Source organism: Homo sapiens, chromosome 1, assembly GCF_000001405.40.
Source record: "Homo sapiens chromosome 1, GRCh38.p14 Primary Assembly".
Lineage (NCBI taxonomy): Eukaryota > Metazoa > Chordata > Mammalia > Primates > Hominidae > Homo > Homo sapiens.
The window spans coordinates 55087519-55109550 of NC_000001.11; the positions used below are offsets into that span (position 1 = coordinate 55087519).

At 38.8% G+C, this 22032-nt stretch overlaps 1 protein-coding gene across 10 annotated transcripts in view; it reads right to left on the bottom strand.

The window, feature by feature from the left end:
* Nucleotides 1-22032, bottom strand: part of USP24 (ubiquitin specific peptidase 24) — a 149006-nt gene that overhangs the window by 21160 nt on the left and 105814 nt on the right. For 6 of the 10 annotated variants that reach the window (XR_001737080.2, XM_047416524.1, XM_017000832.2 and 3 more), the window contains 16 exons: nt 19721-19912; nt 18628-18745; nt 16358-16502; nt 14066-14185; nt 13321-13446; nt 12253-12351; nt 10958-11040; nt 10425-10566; nt 10080-10199; nt 9434-9654; nt 8980-9104; nt 7737-7878; nt 6419-6569; nt 5303-5398; nt 4505-4608; nt 2109-2222 (listed from right to left, as the gene is read on the bottom strand). Coding sequence is in view for 9 of the 10 variants with exons in the window: in XM_047416524.1 (XP_047272480.1) it covers nt 2109-2222; nt 4505-4608; nt 5303-5398; nt 6419-6569; nt 7737-7878; nt 8980-9104; nt 9434-9654; nt 10080-10199; nt 10425-10566; nt 10958-11040; nt 12253-12351; nt 13321-13446; nt 14066-14185; nt 16358-16502; nt 18628-18745; nt 19721-19912 (2098 nt within the window). In the remaining variant the exon portion in view is untranslated. Of the gene's footprint in view, nt 1-2108; nt 2223-4504; nt 4609-5302; nt 5399-6418; nt 6570-7736; nt 7879-8979; nt 9105-9433; nt 9655-10079; nt 10200-10424; nt 10567-10957; nt 11041-12252; nt 12352-13320; nt 13447-14065; nt 14186-16357; nt 16503-17881; nt 18004-18596; nt 18746-19720; nt 19913-22032 lie in introns of those variants that run through there. The other 4 variants (XM_047416525.1, XM_047416526.1, XM_017000836.2 and 1 more) reach the window with 4 other exon arrangements.

The following is a 22032-nucleotide window of genomic DNA, read 5'->3' on the forward strand; positions in this document are numbered from 1 at the left end:
AAGATATTTTGGAATCAAACTAGAAAAATGGTTATCTCTAATGCAAACTCTAAAGGGACAGGCGTACAGCACACAGCACTTCAAAGAAATGCTTACTGATTCTTTTTATGAATTATATGGATATATGCATGCATGCCTGAATAAGTATTTGACTGCTTGCTATTTGCCAGCCTCTTTGTGTCTAGTAGGGAATGAACTGAACCTGGCTTCTGCCCTCAAGAAGCTGAAGTTGTAGTAGAGGAGATGGGCAGAAAAAAGGGAGCAGACTAGCAGGCAACATCCGTTAGACTGGGTGACTGGGAACAGCCTCTCAGAGCAAATGCTATTCACGCTGATGTCTGAAGGAGAAGCCACTTACTATGTGAAGAGGGGAGGATGGTGTTCCAGATAAGGAATAACAGGTGCAAGGACCTTGAGGCAGGAAAATAAGCTCGGCAGGTTCAAGGAACCAATGAGCCAGTATGGCTAAAGCCTGACAAGCAGAGAGTGAGTCAAGGAAAGCCTGGAAGGACAAAAACCAGATCAAGCAAGGCCTTGTGGGTAATGGTGAAAATTCTGGATTTTATTCTGAGAGCAACAGGATTCCGCTGAAGAATTTTTAACCAGAGAGGTAATGTGATCTAATTTGTTTGAAAAAGAACAGGTCTGTTGCTGAATGAAATAGATTAGAGGGAAAAGTGCAGATATCAAGTAGGCAAATAAATGTTTGGAGCTCAGACCTAGAGAGGAAGAGGATCAGGGATCAGCAGTTCTGAAAAGATCTCTAACTTACCAGCAGACTGTGATCGCCTTGTGGGAAGAGACTTGCGTTTCTGAATTCCCTGTTGTGTGTTTGTTTTGAGAGAAAACAGAGCATATTTGTATGCTGGCAGAAGTGACAGAAGTGATAGAAAATTCTAGAAAGTAAAGATGCAGGAATTAAGAGTGAGATAATTAAAGGGTCAACTTCCTTGAGAAGGTGTGCACATGTAGAGAGATTCATTTTGAAAGGAGAGAGGATACTTCCTCTACAATAAAGAGAGGAAAGGGCAAGCTGGAACAGACTCTGGCAGGCGTGTGGCATCTGTGGTTGGGGTAGGAAATGCTCATTTGCTAATCTGTACTTTCTCAGTGAAGTCGAGCGGTAAGGAGTGGGCACAGCTGAGGCAGAGTGAAGGAGGAGCCCACTGGGGAATAGAGGAGACAGGACACCAGAGACCACGGCAGTGCTTGCTGGAACCCCACATAAATGTTGAACTTCCAAGGACAAGAGAAGCTGACTTGATGAGGATGATCAGAAGTAAAGTGTAAACATTCATAGTGATTGGAGCATTCTGAATTTCTGCCAGAAAAGCAAATTTTTCTTTTTTAAATTTCAGGTACCTAGGTAGATGTACTATCATAGGTAATATACTACCAGGAGTTTTTTTTTTTTGAGTGGAGTCTCGCTCTGTTGCCAGGCTGGAGTGCAGTGACGCGATCTCAGCTCACTGCAACCTCTGCCTCCTGGGTTCAAGCAATTCTCCTGCCTCAGCCTCCCAAGTAGCTATAGGTGCCCACAACCACGCCCGGCTAATTTTTTGTATTTTTAGTAGAGGCGGGGTTTCACCATGTTGGCCAGGATGGTCTTGATCTCTTGACCTCATGGTCTGCCCGCCGTGGCCTCCCAAAGTGCAGGGATTACAGGTGCGAGCCACTGCACCTGGCCTACCGGTAGATTTTTGAAAAATAATTTTTTAGTCAGAATCCAAACACAGTTAGACAATATTGTGAAATGTGTGGTACTCTGGGATTGTTTCTCTCTTTCCACCAGATTCCGAGTCCCTGAGGGAAGAGACTTGCGTCTCTGACCCCCTTTGAACCATAGCAGGGGTTTAAGACCCACGTGCCTATGAGTACCTGGCAGGCGATCTGCCTCACAGGCTCTTCTTGTGGTCACTGAATACTTGCCTGAGATGATTTTGGAGTGACCTGAATTATTTCCTCACTGTTTCAGTGAAGAGAGTTTAAAATAGACTTTAAGCAGAACAATAATTTCAAGTTGAAATAAAAAGGGTTATAAGAAACTTCAGCTCTAAATCACTGGAAGAGACACAAATTTCTTTTAATTAAAAGACTCCAACACTTACTTTATCAATTCTCGTCCTTCAGAACTAATAAAATATTCAACTAACCACTGACAAGCATCAAAACTTTTTGAAAGCAATGCTTCAATGGTAGCAATCCATTCTTCAGTATCAACCCTTTAAAAAAAAGCAGATACAGCAATGTTAGGAGCATAAGCCCAGCCAATGACCTCATGCAGTGCACTCTTGTTGGTTCTTATCCTTTCTATCTATGAATGTCTCTCTGTATGTCTCTCGTGGGTAGAGTGGAGGGATAAGAGATACTTAATGACTGCCCACTACCATGGCTCAGTGTACTCTGGAAGTCAGTGCTTTGCATTCCTTGGCTCCTTGTGGTGTGGCTCATCTTTCCCCACAAACAAAAAAGTGTAAAGAAGCTTAAGTCTTAGACTTTACCTTCCTTCTGCATCTTCATCAAACAACTCGAATTAGACAAAAGGCCTGAACTATAGCATTTTTTTCATTAATTTACACTCACAAAATGTCCACTTTCAGAATAGCTTACATTGACATTTTTATGCTTTATTGCTAAAATCATTAATATCCTACCTTATGGAATAAAAAAAAAATATTCAGGCAGAAAAAAGGTATAATGACTATTCTACCCAAGCCCTCATAACACCTCCCTTACATCCCCCAATGTCCCAAAATGATCATTGTGTAAAATGGCCATATAAACAAAATGGAAATAGTGGGCCATGTGTAAAGAGCATGAGCAAATTTCACAAACAAAAGTGACCAATCCTATGCCAGGATAGGCATAGTGACTAATTAGTTAATCCTATGCCAGACATTAAAAGAAAGGGATACATTATTTTTTCTTTTTCAGATAATAAAGACTGAGATCACTTAATATATCTTTGATTATTATACATAAAAATGAAGTTGTCACTATATATTTTTTCTGAAGAGTTTCTTGACTGCAAAATCTGTCCAAAAACCTCTCCATACTTGGAGAAGCTCACTTTGCTAGTGAGAGGGAAAAGACTGGGAACTTAAGTAGTCTTTTAACTCTAACTGGTCTCCTCACCCTGGGTCTCCCCTTACTCTAGGTATATTCTACAAACCACTGCTCAATACTCTTCATTCTTCACTCATTTATTCACAGAACAATGACTTATCCAGAACCTATAATGTGCAGGCACCTTACCAGGTGCTGAAGATAAAAACCGATGACGAGGCCAGGCACAGTGGCTCACGCCTGTAATCTCTGCACTTTGGGAGGCCAAGGAAGGCGAATCACCTGAGGCTGGGAGTTCAAGAGTAGTTTGCTCAACACGGCGAAACCCCGTCTCTACTAAAAATACAAAAATTTGCCGGGTGTGGTGGCGCACGCCCATAGTCCAGCTACTTGGGAGGCTGAGGTAGAAGAATCGCTTGAACCCGGGACACAGAGGTTGCAGTGAGCCAAGACTGCACCACTGCACTCCAGTCTGGGCAACAGAGTGAGACTCTGCCTCAAAAACCCAAAAAAACCATAAAACCAATGATGAATAAGATACAGTCAATGTCTGTAAAGTTTCTAAGGCAGAGGTCCCCAAGCCCTGGGCCATGGACCAGTACCGGCCTGGGACCCGTTAGGAACAGGGCCGCACAGCAGGAGGTAAGTGGTGTGCCAGTGAGCATTACAGCCTGAGCTCCACTTCCTGTCAGATCAGTGGCAGCATTAGATTCTCATAGGAGCATGAACCCTATTGTGAACTGCACACATGAGGGATCTAGGCTGTGCGTTCCCTATGAGAATCTAATTGTCCCCCCAACCCTCCCTTTTGTGGAAAAATTGTCTTCCATGAAACCACTCCCTGTTGCTAAAAATATTGGAGGCTGTTGTTCTAAGGCATTACTCTGGACATACTTCCCTGTTCAAAAACCTTTCACGATCTCCCACTGAACACAGCCCAAACTCCCTGCTCTGGCACTAAGGGCACTCAGTGAGTTCTAAACCCAACATTCAGCCTCAGCTCCAGGAGTCTCTCACACGTCCTACTAAAACACAATTAGTCACTCATGGTTCCCTAGGCCAAGTCTTGTCTGTTACTCAGGCTTTCCTTTCTGCCTAAAATGAGCCCTCTGTGTTTCTCTGTTTTGCCTTTCGAAACCCTCTGAGAACATCAGTGTCTTAAAGCCTACTCTAATCTCCTTATCTGGATATGATTTTGCCCAATTCGAAGATGTACAGAATTTATACCTTGGTATAAATTGTCTTTTTAGGTATTTCTCTTTTGTTTGAGCTATTCTTTCCATTAGGTTAGAAGTTTCTTAAAGCTAGAGACCATGTCTTAGTCCTCTGAATAAAATTAGGTAGCTGCTTTCACAATATTTTAATTATAAATTCAACTTCAATTGAATTCACCAGTGCCCTCTGTCACAACAGATTATCAAAACATATCACTTCTCACCTGAGTTTCTTCTTTGTCCGTAGATAAGTTTGAAAAAGGAATTGAATAGCAAGCTGTAAGCTCACCTTTGCCATGCAAGGATAATATGGATGCTTTAATTTAGTCTAAGAGAGGGAAACATGAAAGAGGATATTTTTCACAGAAGTTTTATAGATTATTACACAGTTACGAACTAAATTATGATACACACACAATATATGAATATGATATACACACATGATAAAGTTAAATACTAATAAGAAGAATCTTGCCAGTTCATTATAAAAAAATGTTCCATTTAAATTTTTAAAAAGGTTAAGAAAAGACATTGTCTTCATTTCTTTTATGAAATCCTCTCAAAACAGTTGTTAGACCGCAGGATGTTAAGTCATCAAGAGACTAAGAATGTTGTTTTCCCTTATTGGCAAATTACAATCATGGTACTCAAGGAAAAGTAGTTGAAAGTTAATCTTTAGTCTTGTGATATTTTATTACAAATTAGGAATCTCCACAAAGACCAATATCCATTGACATGAGCTCACAGTTATAGCTATTCTAAGATTCTTTTATAAATCTAAACAAGGGCACTTTAGAAAGCCAGTATGTGGGAAGTCACACCTCCCCACCATCTACATTATACATTCAGAATGCTGCTTGCATTTTAATATTACCCAATACGGGCTACATTCACGGGAAAACCTTTTTGCATCTAACCTGAATGCTAACTACTGAGACTGAGGATGAATCACTGAATGCTTTAGCTAAAGCATATTTAATTGTAACCCTTTCTTATTTCTAACAATCCAGTTAGTTACTTACAGCATTCAATGAAGCTAAAGACAAAACAAAACTGAAATAATCACTACTGTATACATCTCTATTCTTCATAAACTTGAGGTTCTCATCTCTCACCATCTACAAAAGAAGATTAATAATTATTTTTATGAAATGGAAAAATATTCAATATGTGAAGGACATTTCTAATGATATGTAAAAATATAGGTAAAAAGCACTTATAAAAAGTGAATTATAATTTATAATTCCCCTTTCTCAAGTTTTGAACTTTTAAAAGAGGAGAGAGAAAACCTTCCTTTGACATATAAGATGTTATAAGAACTATTATTCATTAAACCATACCCTTTTGGGAAATTCAGGTAAACTGCCATGTGAAGGACAAATGAATTCTAACTTGGTATTTTAGGTAGAAGGGGATAAACAGAGCTCTCCCAAGCACAACCAACTCCATGCTTCCTTTATGTCAGATGGCTTAATTCTCTTTCTTTCTTAATGTAAGACTCGATATTTTTCTCAAATTCTCTTGTTCTAGCTACTGAGCTTTTGATTAATTAGTGTATAAAGTCTGGACTGAGTAGACAGTTCTGAATTTAGATCCTTGTCCTGTGACACTGGCACATACTTCTTCTTTTCTGAACCTGTTTTTCCATCCAAAAAATGAGAATAAAACCTGATACTGCATAATAATCTTTTACAAATTAAAGATGTGCTTAAAGCACGTAGCACACAGTAGGTGTTCAATAAATAATGGCCAATGATTGTTTTATTAGTCCCACTCAAAGGTTATGAACCTTAACTTGTTTTTCTCTCCAGACAAAATAAGTTTATTTCAGCAACACGATTTCTTTACTGCCCACTCCCCACAACTCTGTTTATTTGTGACATTTCACACTCACAGAGCAGGTCAGTGATTGTGCCTGCCAATCATGAGTGTGTATTCATACTTGTGTTCTTAGCACTCCATGGCTCTAGCTCTATGGCCCCCTCTGTGTCGTGGCATAAAAGGTTCATGAGACAAGTGTGTAAGACGATGTAGCCCCAGTGGTACAACTAATCCAGCAGAAGTACTTCTGGACCTACTAGATACATTTTGATGTCCACGTGGATATTCCCCCTTAGAATTTTTTATATGGTTCTTACCTGGTATATTCGAGCAGGCATTTTCTCCACAAACAGTCCTTTCTTCTCGCCTTTTTTAACCAGCTTGGTAAGAATAGACAGCCGGTCATTGTTCGGCCTATGGGGCCGAGGGGATGACTGAGGTGAAATTTCTGGTGAAGATGGAGCTGACCTAAGAGATAGAATCAGAAAACTCTGTCTAGTATAAAGTGGCTATTTTTTCAGTAGTTACTAAGACTTGCCAAATTCACATAAACGGGTATTAGACTATTTGATTATTATACATGTATCGAAACATAAAACTGTACCACATAAATATATACAATCATAATGTAACAATTAAGAAATTAAAAATGCAATACTTTCTAATTAGTTGGGAGAACTGATTGACATTATAGAAGATAAAATAGTGCAGGGCAAATTTAACACAAATTTTTACTTAAGTGGCATATGAGATTTAACATTTAAGCACAAAATGAATTCTTCCTTCATATTATTGTGAGATATCTTTCCCAGCCATTAAAAAAGCAGTGAAATAAACTTATCTTAGAGCCACACACTCAAAGTCGTGTAAGAACAAAGTATTGAACCAAGTTTTCAAATTTAATAAAACACATATAGTCATATTTCTCACATGAAAAAGTAAACACTTTCCTGACCCAATATATTAAAAGGCAAATTCACTGACAATAGGACCTTTAAAAAACAACAACATTCTGACAGTGTTGGCATAGCATTATGCTTTGGACAAAAAGTGTATTCAACAAATGCTGCTAACATTAAAAAAAAAAAAAAAAAAAAGTCCAGGTATGGTGACTTATGCCTATAATCCCAGCACTTTGGGAGGCCTAGATGGGAGTATTGCTTGAGCCCAGGAGTTCCAGACCAGCCTGGGCAACATTGGGAGACCTTATCTTTACAAAAAACAGACAAACCAAATATCTGGGCCTGGTGCCCCTCGCCTGTGGTCCCAGCTATTCAAGAGGCTGAGGTGGAAGGATCGCTTCAGCCTGGGAGGTCGAGGCTGCAGTGAGCTATGATCATGCCACTGCACTCCAGCCTGGGTGACAGAGTGAGACCACACTGTCTCAAAAAAACAAAAAACAAAACACTTCAATTCTAGAATGAAATAACTTACGTGCATGTTTCTAAATATGTAACAACTTCTTGCCAAGAAAATAACCATGAAGCAATAAGGGATTTATTTTCTTTTTGGAATTCTTTTTAGAATTTCTCTCCAGCTTAGCTAATTATCTTTAAAATCTCAAATAGTATATTGTCACAGACCACATCATCACCATAGAAATCACACAGCAAATTACATGGAAGAGACACTTACAGAGAGAGATCCTCAGCTTCCTGCCGTACAACGCTGACTCGACTTTTCTTTGGTAATACTGGGGAGTTCTGATCAGACACCCTTTGGTAGAAAAGCATATAGGCATTCCAGTATCTTCGGCGCACATCAGTGTATGGGTTTGCTTTATAACAAGACATTAAGAAACACATCTGTAAATAAAAGTTTTTCTTGTCTTGACAATCTAAAACAAAGGGCCCATTATTCCAGCAAGTAGTTAACTACTCCCTAAGTTTGTAAAATGCAAAGTATAAGTAAAATGTGAGTGTCTTTAGAGTACTGCTTAGCATGGAAGTCAGGATACTTCAGTTGTGGGCCTAGCTGGATCTCTCACTTGGAAGTGATATAGGTGGGGACAAGGAATAAGGGAGCAGTATGGTAATGGAGTAAGAGAAAGAAGGTAAGTATCCTAGGGAGGTCTAAATGTAAGCAAATAGCAAGTGACATTTAAAAATATGTTCTGTGGCACAAGATGGGATAACTGGCCTCACTTAACCATTTCTGCCAAGATCGGCCAAATCCAGGCAAATTCTGACAATACTATATCCAACTCTTAAAGGTTACCACCATAAGATGCTTAACTATAATGGCATGGTATCAAAATCTAATACAGTGAATCCAATACAGCTAAAAATTTAGAAATACCACTAGAAGATTTCAAAATCAGGTTTCTGAAATGCTAAGGTCTCCACCAAATAGCTTTTTATCAAATAGCAAGTTCTGATTGGGCTGTACTTCTCCTCATACTCTTTTTTCCTGGGAGTGGGGATTGTAGAGGGAAAGACTGCTTTGCCACACTGCATAATAAATATGGTTTTAAAAACACAGGTGCTAGAAATGTCTTCTCTAATTAGTCACACCTCTACATAAGTGAAAAGGAAATCTGAAAATTTTAATGGATAACTACTTCCAAAACTATTTTTAAGGTTCAATTTCAGTATTCATTACTTTCTCTCTGATGCTCATTTCATCCTTTTAACTTACTCCCAGCTCCCCTACCTATCCCTCAAGGTTGTTGTAAGAAATTATTTAAAAAAATTTTTATAAACAGCTTGAACATTTTCACTTTGGTTATTAAAGAGCTTGCTCATGGTTCTATTGCTAGAACAGTAGTACAATAAAAATAACAAAATCTGTTGTGTTTTTATATAAAGAATACTATTAATTTTTATAGAAAACGATAAATAAAAAAACTAATGGAAAATATCCATTTGTAAATACTTACTTTGATCATAAACTTTTGGTCTATATTCTCCTCCAAAGCATTCATACTCCAGGGTCTCGTCATTTAGGTCAAATTCTTCTATAACTGTGTCATTAAATTTATACCACTTTCCTTTTCCACACCCTCTAGAACCCAGAGATCAGACAAACATTATAAGGTTAAAAAAATCAACCTCCTCATCCTTAGCATTGATCTCAATGTATTGTCTACAAATAAAGCAGGTGTTTACCATTTGAAAATATCTAAGAAATATGTAGCAACAATTATTTCAATTTCTAAAACAACTTTTCAAATTGAAGGGGTAAAACCAGTTGCACGAAGCTTTAAAACTTCAAAATGAAACACAGTCAAGAACAATGCCAAAGTGTCCCTGCACCACAGCGGTGAGTATGGATGATAACGGAGAGCAGGGGAGGGCAGAAAGTGAGTAAGTGCTGCCTCAGGAAACTCTTACCGCCTGTCCTTAATGAAGGAATAGTAGTGGCCTGCGTGTGCCTGCCCACTGTGTACGATGACACCGACAAGTTCATAGTTTTCTGTGAGGGCAACCTTTTTTCGTGGGGATCCTCCACCGCCCTGATCCACACTTCGCCCATTTTCCCCAACTTCAGAAGAAGAATCTTGGCGAGCCATTCCTGAAACTGTGTAAGGCTCCATGTTTAGCATCCAGGGAAACTATGTAGAAGCAAAAAGACCATATTAACGTTGATTACTAACATATACAGCAGTACCCAGTTAAGTGAGATCCAAATAAGAGGAAGTGTTTTCCTAGTTTAAGCTAGGAACAACTACCTCACCAGTTCAAGTATAAAATCTCAGAAATGTTAAGTCTGGGAACGTCTAAAGTAGCCTCTGGTTTGAGCCCTAAGGAAGGCATTTTCCTTCATAGTAATCACTAGGATGCCTTCTAGAAATGAGGGCCACTGTTTCCAGATCTGCCTATTCCGGTAACAGCAGCTGCCTAAGATAAGGGGCTCTTCATAATGCTGAGACAACAGCCTTAACATGGTAGACAGAATATGAAAATTGAAAAAGGAAAAAAAAAGAAGTGAGTGAGGAAATGAATGGTTGTGAAAAATTTCAGGAAGAAAAAAAGTTACCCTTATTTGTTCATCATATTTAATGGAGCGTCCGCTTTCCCAGTCAAACCCAAATCTCATTAGGTGAATTACCAAGACGCTAGGTAAAGATTTAATACAGGTCCTTTTCACTGTTATTCTCTAAAGAAAAAAAAAAGGAAAAAGAGCAAATCTGAATGATCTCCATGGAGAAAATAAAACAGCACAGTAATTAATGCAAAGGCCTTTCTGATCCATGTGAAAACAAGTAATGACACAATCTAATGGAAATAACAGTAGGAGCTTAATACTGATTTTACATAAAACAAAGACGCACTATGCGAATAACAAATTAATCTTGTTTTTTAAAAAGGGCAAACATAATACCTTTTCTTTACACTTTTCACAGTAGTACGCATTACTTCCTTCTAGAACTTCTCCTCTAACAAATTGGTCCAAAGAAATTTCCAAACTCTGACAAGAAGTCACTCCTAGATTGAGAGCCATGAAAGCTTCTTCACGCTCATATCTGATTAGGAAATAACAGAAAACCCACAATCAACAATGGAATTTAAAACTCTTCAATTATCATAATACCTAAGCTTGAACACAGAACTACATTTTTAATCTGGGAGTCCCTCAATATTTTAAAAGTCCATTACTAAGTTAAAATGCCACTTTGTGACAATTAAGAATTGCCTAAAATTATGAATTTCAATGAATATTTTCTTAAGCCCACAAAGAAATTTTTTCTCCTTCTGGAAGTAGAAAGCAAAGAAATTTAAGTCACTAAATACTTATAGATCTGTTGACAGGGAGAGAGTTCTAAGTCTCTTAACAAATGCAAAATTTACAACATACTAAACAAATCACTTCAAAAGGATGATCATTTTTCCTGTGTCGGTGATATCTTCACTCACCTGTGAGGACAGTCTTTACAGATCTTCTGATCAGAGTAGATGCCCTGAAATGTATTCTTAAAAATTTGGTCTCTCCCCATTTTCTGTTGGAATGAAAAGTTACAGTTTTAAGTGATGCCTCCTGAACTTATGAGTATACAGAATTTTATTAACACATTGCAATTTAAGGACCAAAACAAAACGCGTCATTCTGGTAGTATCAGCTGTGGTGAATGGAGGCTAAACCCATTATTGGCCCCACTGTCAGAGTGATGCAGACGATCAGAAGAGGAAGAGGAGGAGGGATGGGTCAGGTAGAGCTAATGACAAGAGAGTGTTCTCCAGGGTGATTCTGAATCCTTCTCCCTGTGCTACAAGGACCAAGTTAGGGGCAACTCTCAGCAATCTTTTCTTTTTTCTTGTGGATAGAATGCCATCAATTTGCAAGTTACTTTAAAAAATGGAAGAATTGTGCCTACTGATGAGAGGCCAATGCTGGCAGTGACAGCGGGATCTGAGAAGGCAATACCGTTTAGGAAGTCTGCCACATGGCTTACAGGGTAGAGGTAGAGAGCTTTGGGTTTCAACAGCACCACGAATAACTTTTTAATCTGGCTCCTTTCTCCCCTGTGCCAGAGCACTCTCTGCTCTGCACAGGGCCATCAGCTCACCAGTGACTGCAGCACTCTTCTGAGGCCAGATTATTTCAGTAGACACACAGAAAGAATATGTAGGTAGGAATGGTTATTACTATGTAGTAGAGATTAAGAGTTACATACTTTACTGAGCGTTAGATGAATTAAGAAAATATGCAATTCTAGGCCAGGCATGGTACCTCAAGCCTGTAATCCCAGCACTTTGGGAGGCTGAGGTGGGTGAATCTCTGGAGGCCAGGAGTTTGAGACCAGCCTGGCCAACATGGCGAAACCCAATCTCTGCCAAAAAGTACAAAAATTAGCCGGGCGTGGTGGTGCACACCTGTGATCCCAGCTACTCGGGAGGCTGAGGTGCAAGAATCTCTTGTACCTGGAAGGTAGAGGTTGCAGTGAGCTGAGATTGTGCCACTGCACTCCACTCTGGGTGACAGAGCGAGACTCTGTCTCAAAAAAAAAGAAAAGAAAAAAAAGAGAAAATATACAATTCTATTGATCTGTGTTATGTTTTGATGTTTAAACACAGAATACATTATAGTTCTTATGTTAAAGATAATCAATTTCTGATTCGTCAGTTTCATAGTAACCCCAAATGCTAAGACACTATTCTCATACTATAATTAGAGTTTGAGGGAGTTAGAGGGAAAGTACAACTTTTACTACCTTGAGGTATTCATCCATCTGATCAATGAGACTAGTAAAGAATTCATATGCATCCTGCTGTTCTCTCACATAAAGTTCTTTATTCCACATCTTGAAAATCTATATAACAAAAATTAAATGTTTTTAAAGGAAAAGTAGCAATTTCTGAATGTGGTAGAAAGGGAACATGAAAGAGCACTTAAATGCTTATAAAAATCAGGTTCACTATTAGGATGTGGACATTTCTAGTGAAGTGAGACTAGCTTGTATTCAGCCATCCACCCTTTTTTCTAGTCCCCTTACAATCATAACAAGTCTCTGAAATCAAAAGTGGGTACTGGGTAAGATCTAGGCCATGGAACAGAGAATTTCTCTCTTAGAAACAAATCAACCTATGGGGAAAAACACAAGGTGATCCTCCAATATGTGAAACACAGTAAAGCAATGTTTAAAAATAGTATTCTTGGCCGGATGTGGTGTCTCACGCCTGTAATCCCAGCACTCTGGGAGGCCGAGGCAGGCGGATCACCTGAGGTCGGGAGTTCAAGACTAGCCTGACCAACACGGAGAAACCCCATCTCTACTGAAAACACAAAATTAGCCGGGCATGGGGGTGCATGCCTGTAATCCCAGCCACTTGGGAGGCTGAGGCAGGATAATCGCTTGAACCCAGGAGGTGGAGGTTGTGGTGAGCCAAGATTGCGCCATTGCACTCCAGCCTGGGCAACAAGAGCGAAACTCCGTCTCAAAAAAAAAAAAAAAGTGTTCTTTATTTAAAGACATTAGTGAAATCGGCACAGGGTCAGGGGAATGATATGAACAAATATTTCAAAGAACTAAAATAAGAATCATTAAAAATATTCAAAATAATTAAGATGAGCAAATTCCTAGGAATTGAATGACTATTCTCAACATTCTAATGATTTGAAACCAAGTACCAATTTCAACAATGGTATACCAAATCCTTTTACAGTTTCTTGGCAAGAGATTAGTCTAAAGTTAATAAAAACAAAAAACCATTACCATTAGAGAAAGAATGTAGCCAAATATTTAACATCTTTAAATCTCAAGAGTTACTGGGTGAAATACCTTCCAAAAATTCTCAGGTACATAGTACTGCAGCTTGCTTTCCATTAAATGTCCAAAGAGAGACTGCACTTGGTAAAACACGCTATCATCTGGATTGTCTGTGTCATCATCCACTGAAAGTAATGACTGCACAGAAAAGAAACATATCAAGCTTGAAATATTTAAAATGCTTCACAGGAAACTCTGACATATGTACATGTTAGTACCCACATTGCTTTTTTAGAATGTTATGTATGTTTGGACATGGCTATAATGCTGCAGATATTTAACTTTAATAATTCCTAGCTGGTGTAATTATGAAAAAATCATGTCCTTAAACTCTGATTATGAAAAACTGGTCTAGTAATACCAGGTTCTCTACAGGAAATAAGCGTAGCCCAGTACACATGGAATACTCTCAAAACCACTGACCATATTATTGTAAAGTGCTCATGGTAGACCCTATATATTTCTAAAATACTAAAACTGTCAGTAACTTTATGGAATATAATTTAAAAACAACTTTGGAGTTCAAAAATCACATTAGGTCAAGTCCATCTGTAATACAGGCAGCTTATTACAACAGCAACTTTATAAAAATGTGTGATTATACACAACATGTCTTTACACATTTCAGGAGCTACTAAAGAATTGCAAGTTATGTCTTGTTTTAGGAAACCCCAAAAGCAATAAAAAACTATGAAACAATTTTCAAGTAACGCACGTATTATCTATCGTACCAAAAAGGATAGAAAAAAGAAATCACCTCAGGGAGCCCAGGTTGCATATACAGCTGCTGGAAGACTGCATTCATATAACAAGTTGCACCACCATTTCTCAGCCCCACAAACCCTGAACTGGACCTGCTATCCACTGGGGGAAGGTACTGGAAAAGAGAGGAATAGAAACAGCAGAGGAGAAGAATGAGCATTTCTGCCACAGACACATTTACACTATAGCTATGCGGGAGATATATTCACAGATTTACCCATCCAGCATGTTATGAAAGCTATGCTGGCAAAACCTATGTTCATGAAGTACCTCTGCAGATGCTGATATAATTATCAAATACTGCTATCTCAATGTTGCTTTTTCAGTCATAAAATACCTGGCAGATAGGTGTGTATTTGTTTATTTATATAATTACTTGATTATCATTCAACAAATATTGATTAAATACCCTTCTATCTGCCAGGCACTGTGCATGGGATATAAGAGAGAACAGAAATGTGCACGGCCCCTGATCTCAAGGCACTTACAGTCTATTAGGGTAAAGAGGCATAATCAAGCAAATGTCCTACTATATATTCATGAATTAAGGTAGTACTCTGAAAAAAAGGAATGTGAGTCTACGAAGTGATTACCATGAAGGATCCTGACCAATCTGGATGGCAAAAAAAGGCTCATATTGTAATTCCTTTTAGAGAAGGTAACATTCTTCTATTAAACTTCTTCCAGTAAACATATAATTAAATAGGTGACTATCCTACCATTTTACTTACAGGTGTTTTGAAATAACATAGACCCCAGTACAGTGCTTTTCTGGGTAGAAATGATCCAGAAAAAGCATAGTGGATAAAGTTCAACATGGCACTTCTTCAAGTGGAAAAGGATACTGTAATTTTACACTTTGAAATGCTATTCAAAGATCTTGGTTCTCATGCCATGACCAGAATCATGCTATCTGCACATATTAAGTATCTGCATCCATGTAATAACCAACTAGCAGACAAAAATGTATAGGTCTTCTAGATCTCAAGGAATTCCTAAGTATTACTTACTCTTCATTAACATCAGACATATACTTACAGCAGGATTATTTCTAAGACCTAATTAACACCGAAATTTATTTGTAGTCCAAAGCATAGATTTAAAAAAAAAAACTGGTTTGTAACAGTGCTAAAAATATAAATATTTATCTAACACAGATATTGCCTCCATTATGCTGATATAATTTTTGATGTAAGGAAAAACATAAGAAGTTCATTTAAATCTGATTAAATAAATGCATCTAAAGTAACACATAACATAACCTATAAACTAAAGCATTATAAACCATTTTGATCAATCAAAACCATTTCCAACTTATGAGAGCCCACATTTCTAAGTCTTTGCCAAGTGCTACTCCCTCTATTTAGGACATCTGTCCCCACTTCCTTTCCTACCTAACCTCTATGTTCTGTAATACTTAACTCAGGCATCCAAAGGGTAAGTCTGACTTTCTGTGATGTCAGAGAACACAAACGGCAGCTTTGAAAGCATCTTCCCATTTCTAGTCTGTATTCCAGTGGACCTGCAATATACTTCCCTCTCGCAGATCCCAACATACACTAAGCTATTTCATGTCTCCACAGCTGTGTTCATATTCTTCTCATTACTGGAATGGAATGACCTTCCCACCTTGCTTCACCTGGTTCACTAGTTTTTATGGCCCTATTTTAAGTTTCAGCTCCTCTAAGAAGCCTTCTGAGATACCAACAGCTGGTGGTGAAGTGCCTCTCTGTGTTAGAGCATTGAGGACATACCTCTATCTCATATTGTATCACATTACATTGAAACTATCTGCTTATGGGCCTGTCTCTTTCACTATACACTGACCTTCTTGAGGGCTGGGATCCTATTTTCATTTTTGACCTCCAAAAGCCTAATATGCCTTTTAGCACATACTAAACTCAATAAATTTTGGTTGAATTTAACTGCACATAGGCTGTACTGTGATAGAGCCAATGTTTATTTGACTTGTATCTCTAGGGTCTGGCCTATGCCCAGCATAAAGTCACTGAAAAAATAGGTTGGAATGCTACTTTTTACTGAGAATAACTACCAAGCAACTTGAAAATGCCTCTCCCTCTTTAATTAAAAGGATACTATTTCATAATATATTCAGTATATTAGAGTGATACTATAGCTTATACTTGATTTGAGTATGTGAACACAGTAAGCAAAATAGTAATACTGACTTTCTTTGTGGTCAGCAGAATGCAAATACAGTCTTAAAATTATATGTTTCAGAGATCATTCTAAAAAAATTAAGTTCATCAACGTCTAGAAAACCTACATCAAACTCCTTGGTAAGAGCAGGGTCAGGCTGGTGATGCATAGAAAGCAGTTCTTTTATAATAATTTGAAGATTTGAAGGTGAACTATCAGCCAACATCACAAGGACTTCATAGGCTGCCAATCGGCTATTCGCTGTACTACACCTAGAAACAAAAGACACAAGTCAATTTCAACAATGAATAATCTACTTAAATTACTCATTAAACTAAATCAACAGTTGAAATGAAAGTAGAAGAGCTCCAATTCCTCAAACATACTTAAGTCAGGTCTAACCCCAGACATCCAGTAATCCAGGGGTCATGAATACAGGAGGAATTAGTAACTATCTTCTTGGCCTGATGATAAAGTAGTAAAATTCTTTCACTTATGATCAGAATAGTCTCATCTAATGAATGGATCAGCAAGAATGGAGGAGAAAGAGTAAAGAGAACTCTGTAATAAAGATGACATGGGAATAACTGTCTTTCAAATAAAATAGGTAAGTAGAAAGATTTTATCGCTGTCATCCTAAGAAGATCTTAGGATGGCAGCAAAAGAAAGCTGTAAAACCCAGAATAGATAGCCATAAACATTTTATGTGGACTTTCTATGAAAAAAATGGAGACAAAAATACAGTTTGTCAAATCAATTCGTTTAAAGTGACACAAAAGATAACTAGCAAGCATTCTGCATGAAATCAAAGGCTTTCTACACTGCCTGCCTGGTAGTATAAACCACTTTGGGGATGGACAATAATATCTCACTTTAACCAATGCTAACCTTGCATTACTGAGGGATCACTGGTTAGGAAGGATACACAGAAAAGAGGATAGCCAACCTCTGAGTGAAACACTTAGGGAATGTAGGAGGAGGCATTTAAGGGGGCTTATGAGGCTTTTAGACCAGCACGACACCAGGCACTGAGGACAATGGCCATGGAGCTGGCACTGTCCTTTGCTTCTTATCTGAACTTCAGGGTTGCAAAGGACAGTAAGAAAAGAATAGGGAGGTGCCATTTACACAGGCTAAACACTAAAAGTTGCTTTATTACTGTGATACAAAATAGCATTACTTCTGAAAAGAGTTTCTGTGTATTTTAAATCTCTTTCTTCCTTGAAGGTTTTGGTGGGAAAAGACTGGGAATTACTGTGATAAATCAACACCATTCAGTACAATGGGGAGGGATGAAACAAATGTTTCCTTTTTTAATCAAGGCACTGTATATGATTTTTACAAAAACACTCCTTCCTTCTTCATTTATGGAGGAACTACTTTTATTAATAATAAAACTGCTAAAGATATATCTTTTGTGTTTACTGAAAATTAAAATATTCACTTGTTTCTGCTGCTTTAATAAAAGACTACCATAGACCTAGCACCAAATCTTCCAAAACAGGGCTGGGGTAGCAATGAGGATGGGAGTCACAGCCTGAGGAATACCCCAAGAGTTCTAATAAAGGGTTTTACTTTTTTTTCTTACCTAAAACAGATTTTGCTAATGAGGCAACTTTAAGTAGAGAAATATTTATATGTGATAAGATACCTCTTAGGATTCCACAAAATACTGCTTATTATGCCTTGTCCATTTCAATAACCACTGAAATTGTACAGGAACCCTTTTCACTATAAACAGCAAATAGTTTCTTCAGGATTACTCAATTAACTCTGGTTTTCATGAGAAAGGAACAAAGTTAGTTAGATTTGGAGCAAATGAAATAGCAGCTTGTAGCTCTGCCTCTTCTTCCTACCTCCAAGAGTATAAATACCACTCAAGGAGGGTCAACATTACAAAGAGATCTTTCAAATTTGTACCCATAAAACTAATACAAAATTTGATTCCAAAATTACTACTGTAATAAATCACAAGCAGTTGCAGTTAACAGAACACAGCCAGCACTCAGCAAACGACAAGGTTCATGCACTAAAGCACCTATCGTTTTCTCCTGAGAAACCTTCAAGATTTTACTCAGAGCCTATTTACTTGTACTTTCGACATAATTTTTATAACCTTCGTTTCTCTTGGCATTTGTTACTGACCAAGTTAGCCACATTTTTATTTGTTCTCCATTCTGAGGATAATAATGGTACCAGCACACTTGCTCCGTGCTTACTATGTGCCAGGCAGGCTTTATGCTAAGCCGCTTCATGTGCATTTCTTCATTTAGTGGATAATATAGGATACACAGACTCACAGATGGAAGACAAACTCCAAGTTAACAAAATCTTTTGGGACTGAAGTTTCAAATTAGAATTTTTACCAAAACTGAACACAACGTGCATTTTCCATACTTTGGATGAAAGTCCTGTTGACTGATGGCGGCACTGCCAGCTGGAGAATGACTATTTAAAATAATTCTAGAAGCTCGGAAAAGGAAGTCATCTAACAATGGTTTAATGAGTGATGAACCTGGAATAGAGCATAATATTCATGTTGAAGATGAACACATATTTTAATTCAAAGATCCTATCTTGCACTTTCTTATCAGAGCAGCAAAGGTACCCAATGCCACCCAATAGCAGAGCATTTAGTTTAATTTAATGTTTGTTTTTGGAGGACTTACTACATGGCAAAGCTTGTGGGGTAGACTACAAAGGGGACAGAATACAAAGACAGGCAGGTGAGGGTGTGTTCCTTTATGGGCTTACAATACAGTGAAAGGAGTCAAGCTTTCACTTTAGAAACAGAAGTGCCAAGGACACCACAAGGCAGAATGGTTTGAGTGAACAGTTCTTACTCTGGGCATAGGGGAGTCCACATAAGGGTTTCTGAAACTTTTAAAATCTTGCCTTTTTAGTTTAAAATGATATGCCTTTCTCTCTCTGGTTAAGAATCACTCTTTTCTATGTATCCCCAGTAGCCAAGAATATTTTGTAAAGCTTGGTTTGTGTTATAAAAGAGAGAGTTAATTTTTCATTTGTCTTCTGAATACAATTTATAATACTGAATAATCTTTTACAAATTACATGTGTACCCTAGGAGAATCTCATATGTACCCCACCACTGGAGGGCAGGGGTGGTTAGGGGCTGCCTCTTCAGATGAGAATCACCCTTAAAAGAAGACAGACAGTAAATTATGTATTACAAAGTACATAACAGCAAAAAGAGAAAAATCTACTTTGAATTATAATTCTTACTTGGTATTAGGAAGTTATGTGATCCAGCTATTTTGAACACCATAAAATTCTCTATGTTGTTTAATGACACAGGTAAAGTACACCTTAAGTTTGTTAGCCACTAAAATAACGGACAATTTCCTACTGTGTGAAGGGTCAATTTTCCATGGAACACTTGGCATCTATCTTATTTTCCCACTTACACACAGTACTGGCAATAACCGAGCACTGAAGAATCTGCCATGTGATAAGATGGAGCAATAATTACCAAGCATTTCCTTTTCTGCCCCACAGAGTGAAAGAAGGGTCTTGATGAGGCGTAAGTGCCCTGCCAGTAAGATGTTGTCCGCTTCACTGGTCTCACATTCAGCTGTACGATTAGGTTCAAAGTTATCCAGCCAAGTAATCTCATCTTCAAGCATCGTAGCTGGGCTGATCCTTAACTGCTCCATTTCTGAAGCTAAGAAGGAAAAAAAAAATCCATTACAAAGAAAGAAGGATTTCCCTTTATGGAGTCAAAGTCCTGAATTAAAGTAAGCAAAGTCAAGCCCCAATCTTTCACTTTACAGATCTTTAAAAAACTATCATTAAGGCCAGGCGAGCTGGCTCACATCTGTAATCCCAGCACTTTGGGAGGCTGAGGTGGGCGGATCATGAGGTCAGGAGTTCGAGACCAGCCTGGCCAGCATGGTGAAACCCCATCTCTACTAAAAATACAAAAATTACACGGGCACGGTGGTGCATGTCTGTAGTCCTAGCTACTCGGGAGGCTGAGGCAGGAGAATTGCTTGAACCCAGGAAGCAGAGGTTGCAGTGAGCTGAGATCACGCCACTGTACTCCAGACTGGGCAAAAGAGCAAGACTCTGTCTCAAAAAAAAAAAAAAAAAAAAAAAAACACACAAAAACCCCACAAAACTGTCATTAACAAATAGTAGGTGACAGCTGCTGCCCACAGGGAATGAAGTCACCCCCATTCATAAACCACTTATTGGTTGCCTCCTCTGTGCAGGTCACTGTGCCATATGCTGAGGCTATAAGATGAGGGAGACAAATTCCTGCTCAGAAGGAGCTCCTGGTTTGGTGGGGGTTAGCAGAAGTCTCAGGAAACAAAATCTTCTAGAGAAAGAAGGGGTAGAAGGGTATAAGGAGAATCAACACTCCTGCAGTGTTACCTGAACCAAGGGAGGGCTGAGTTCTGCAAAGGAGAATGAGGTCAGAAGTACAGCTGCCAGAGTCCAGGTTTCTAAACAATGTGCCAAACTCCTGAGAACTACTCTGTTCTTTTGTATTATGTATCTCACTTGCCCCTTCAAACAAGGACTTAAAGCACAATTTCATATTGGAAGTTGAGACTTGGGAGGGGAGGAAGAGTGATTATGCTCTACTTCCACTGCACTATAGTGAGAAGCAAGCAGGGTCTCCACACGGTGAAGTGAAGAAGGACCCTTTAGGGTCAGTCAGAGCTGGACTGGGACCAGATAGAAACCCTATGTCTACCACTTACTGTATGACCTTGTTTCCTTATTTATGCAATGAGACCAGCACCTACACTGCAGGGTGCTGTGTATGAAGTGCTAGTATAGGCACTGGCTTACGGAATACACTCCAGAATTGGCAAATATTGTTTGTTTCAAGACATGTTATTACCCGAGAATTCCCCTCACCTCCCAAGATCTTAACAAGAGATCCTGGGTCCCTCATTTATCACTCAACAACACAGGGAAGGTCTACATTAATAACTCGTTCACTCATTTCAAAGTTGCATGTGTGTAGCCAACTCATGATTCCTGTCCTTGCTGCAGAGCAGAAAGCAAAGCCTGTATGGCTGCTGGTCAGCTTTCCCTGGGAGCCTGGGTGAAAACCAGTGTTATGTGAGACTGTTAGATGGACATGTAGTCCACCCACTTCGCTAGATCCAACAGATCTTCTCTCTGAATCAAGACACACTCTCACACTGTATTAACTCCCTCTCCACGAGACCAATTCCACTGCATTGCTCAGAGCAATGTGGCCTGTTTTTATTTTTTATTTTTTGGAGACTCTGTCTCGCTCTGTCGCCCAGGCTGGAGTGCAGTGATGCAATCTCTGCTCACTGCAACCTCTGCCTCCTGGGTTCAAGCGATTCTCCTGCTTCGGCCTCCCGAGCAGCTGGGATTACAGGCACGTGCCACCACGCCCGGCTGATTTTGTGTTTTTGGTTTCACCATGTCGGCCAGGCTGGTCTCGAACTCCTGATCTCAAGTGATCCACCCACCTTCGCCTCCCAAAGTGCCAGGATCACAGGCGTAAGCCACTGCGCCTGGCCACCTCCTGTTTTTGACAGACACTTACGAAACTGATGAAAGCATCTGCCACCATAGAAATGTTGTTGAGGATTATTAGTCACTGTCTTTATGTGTCCATTACATGATGGCCTTTGTATGAAATTTCTTTTAGACTTAGGTGCTGGGAAAGAGATTTGCTTCTTTTGAGAAACTATTCTATTTCTTCTTACAGGGTATTTGAACAACTAACCATACGCTGCTTCCTTTTTACCTCTGGCCTTCAGGAACCTCAGAAATTAATTCTGAGGTATTTTT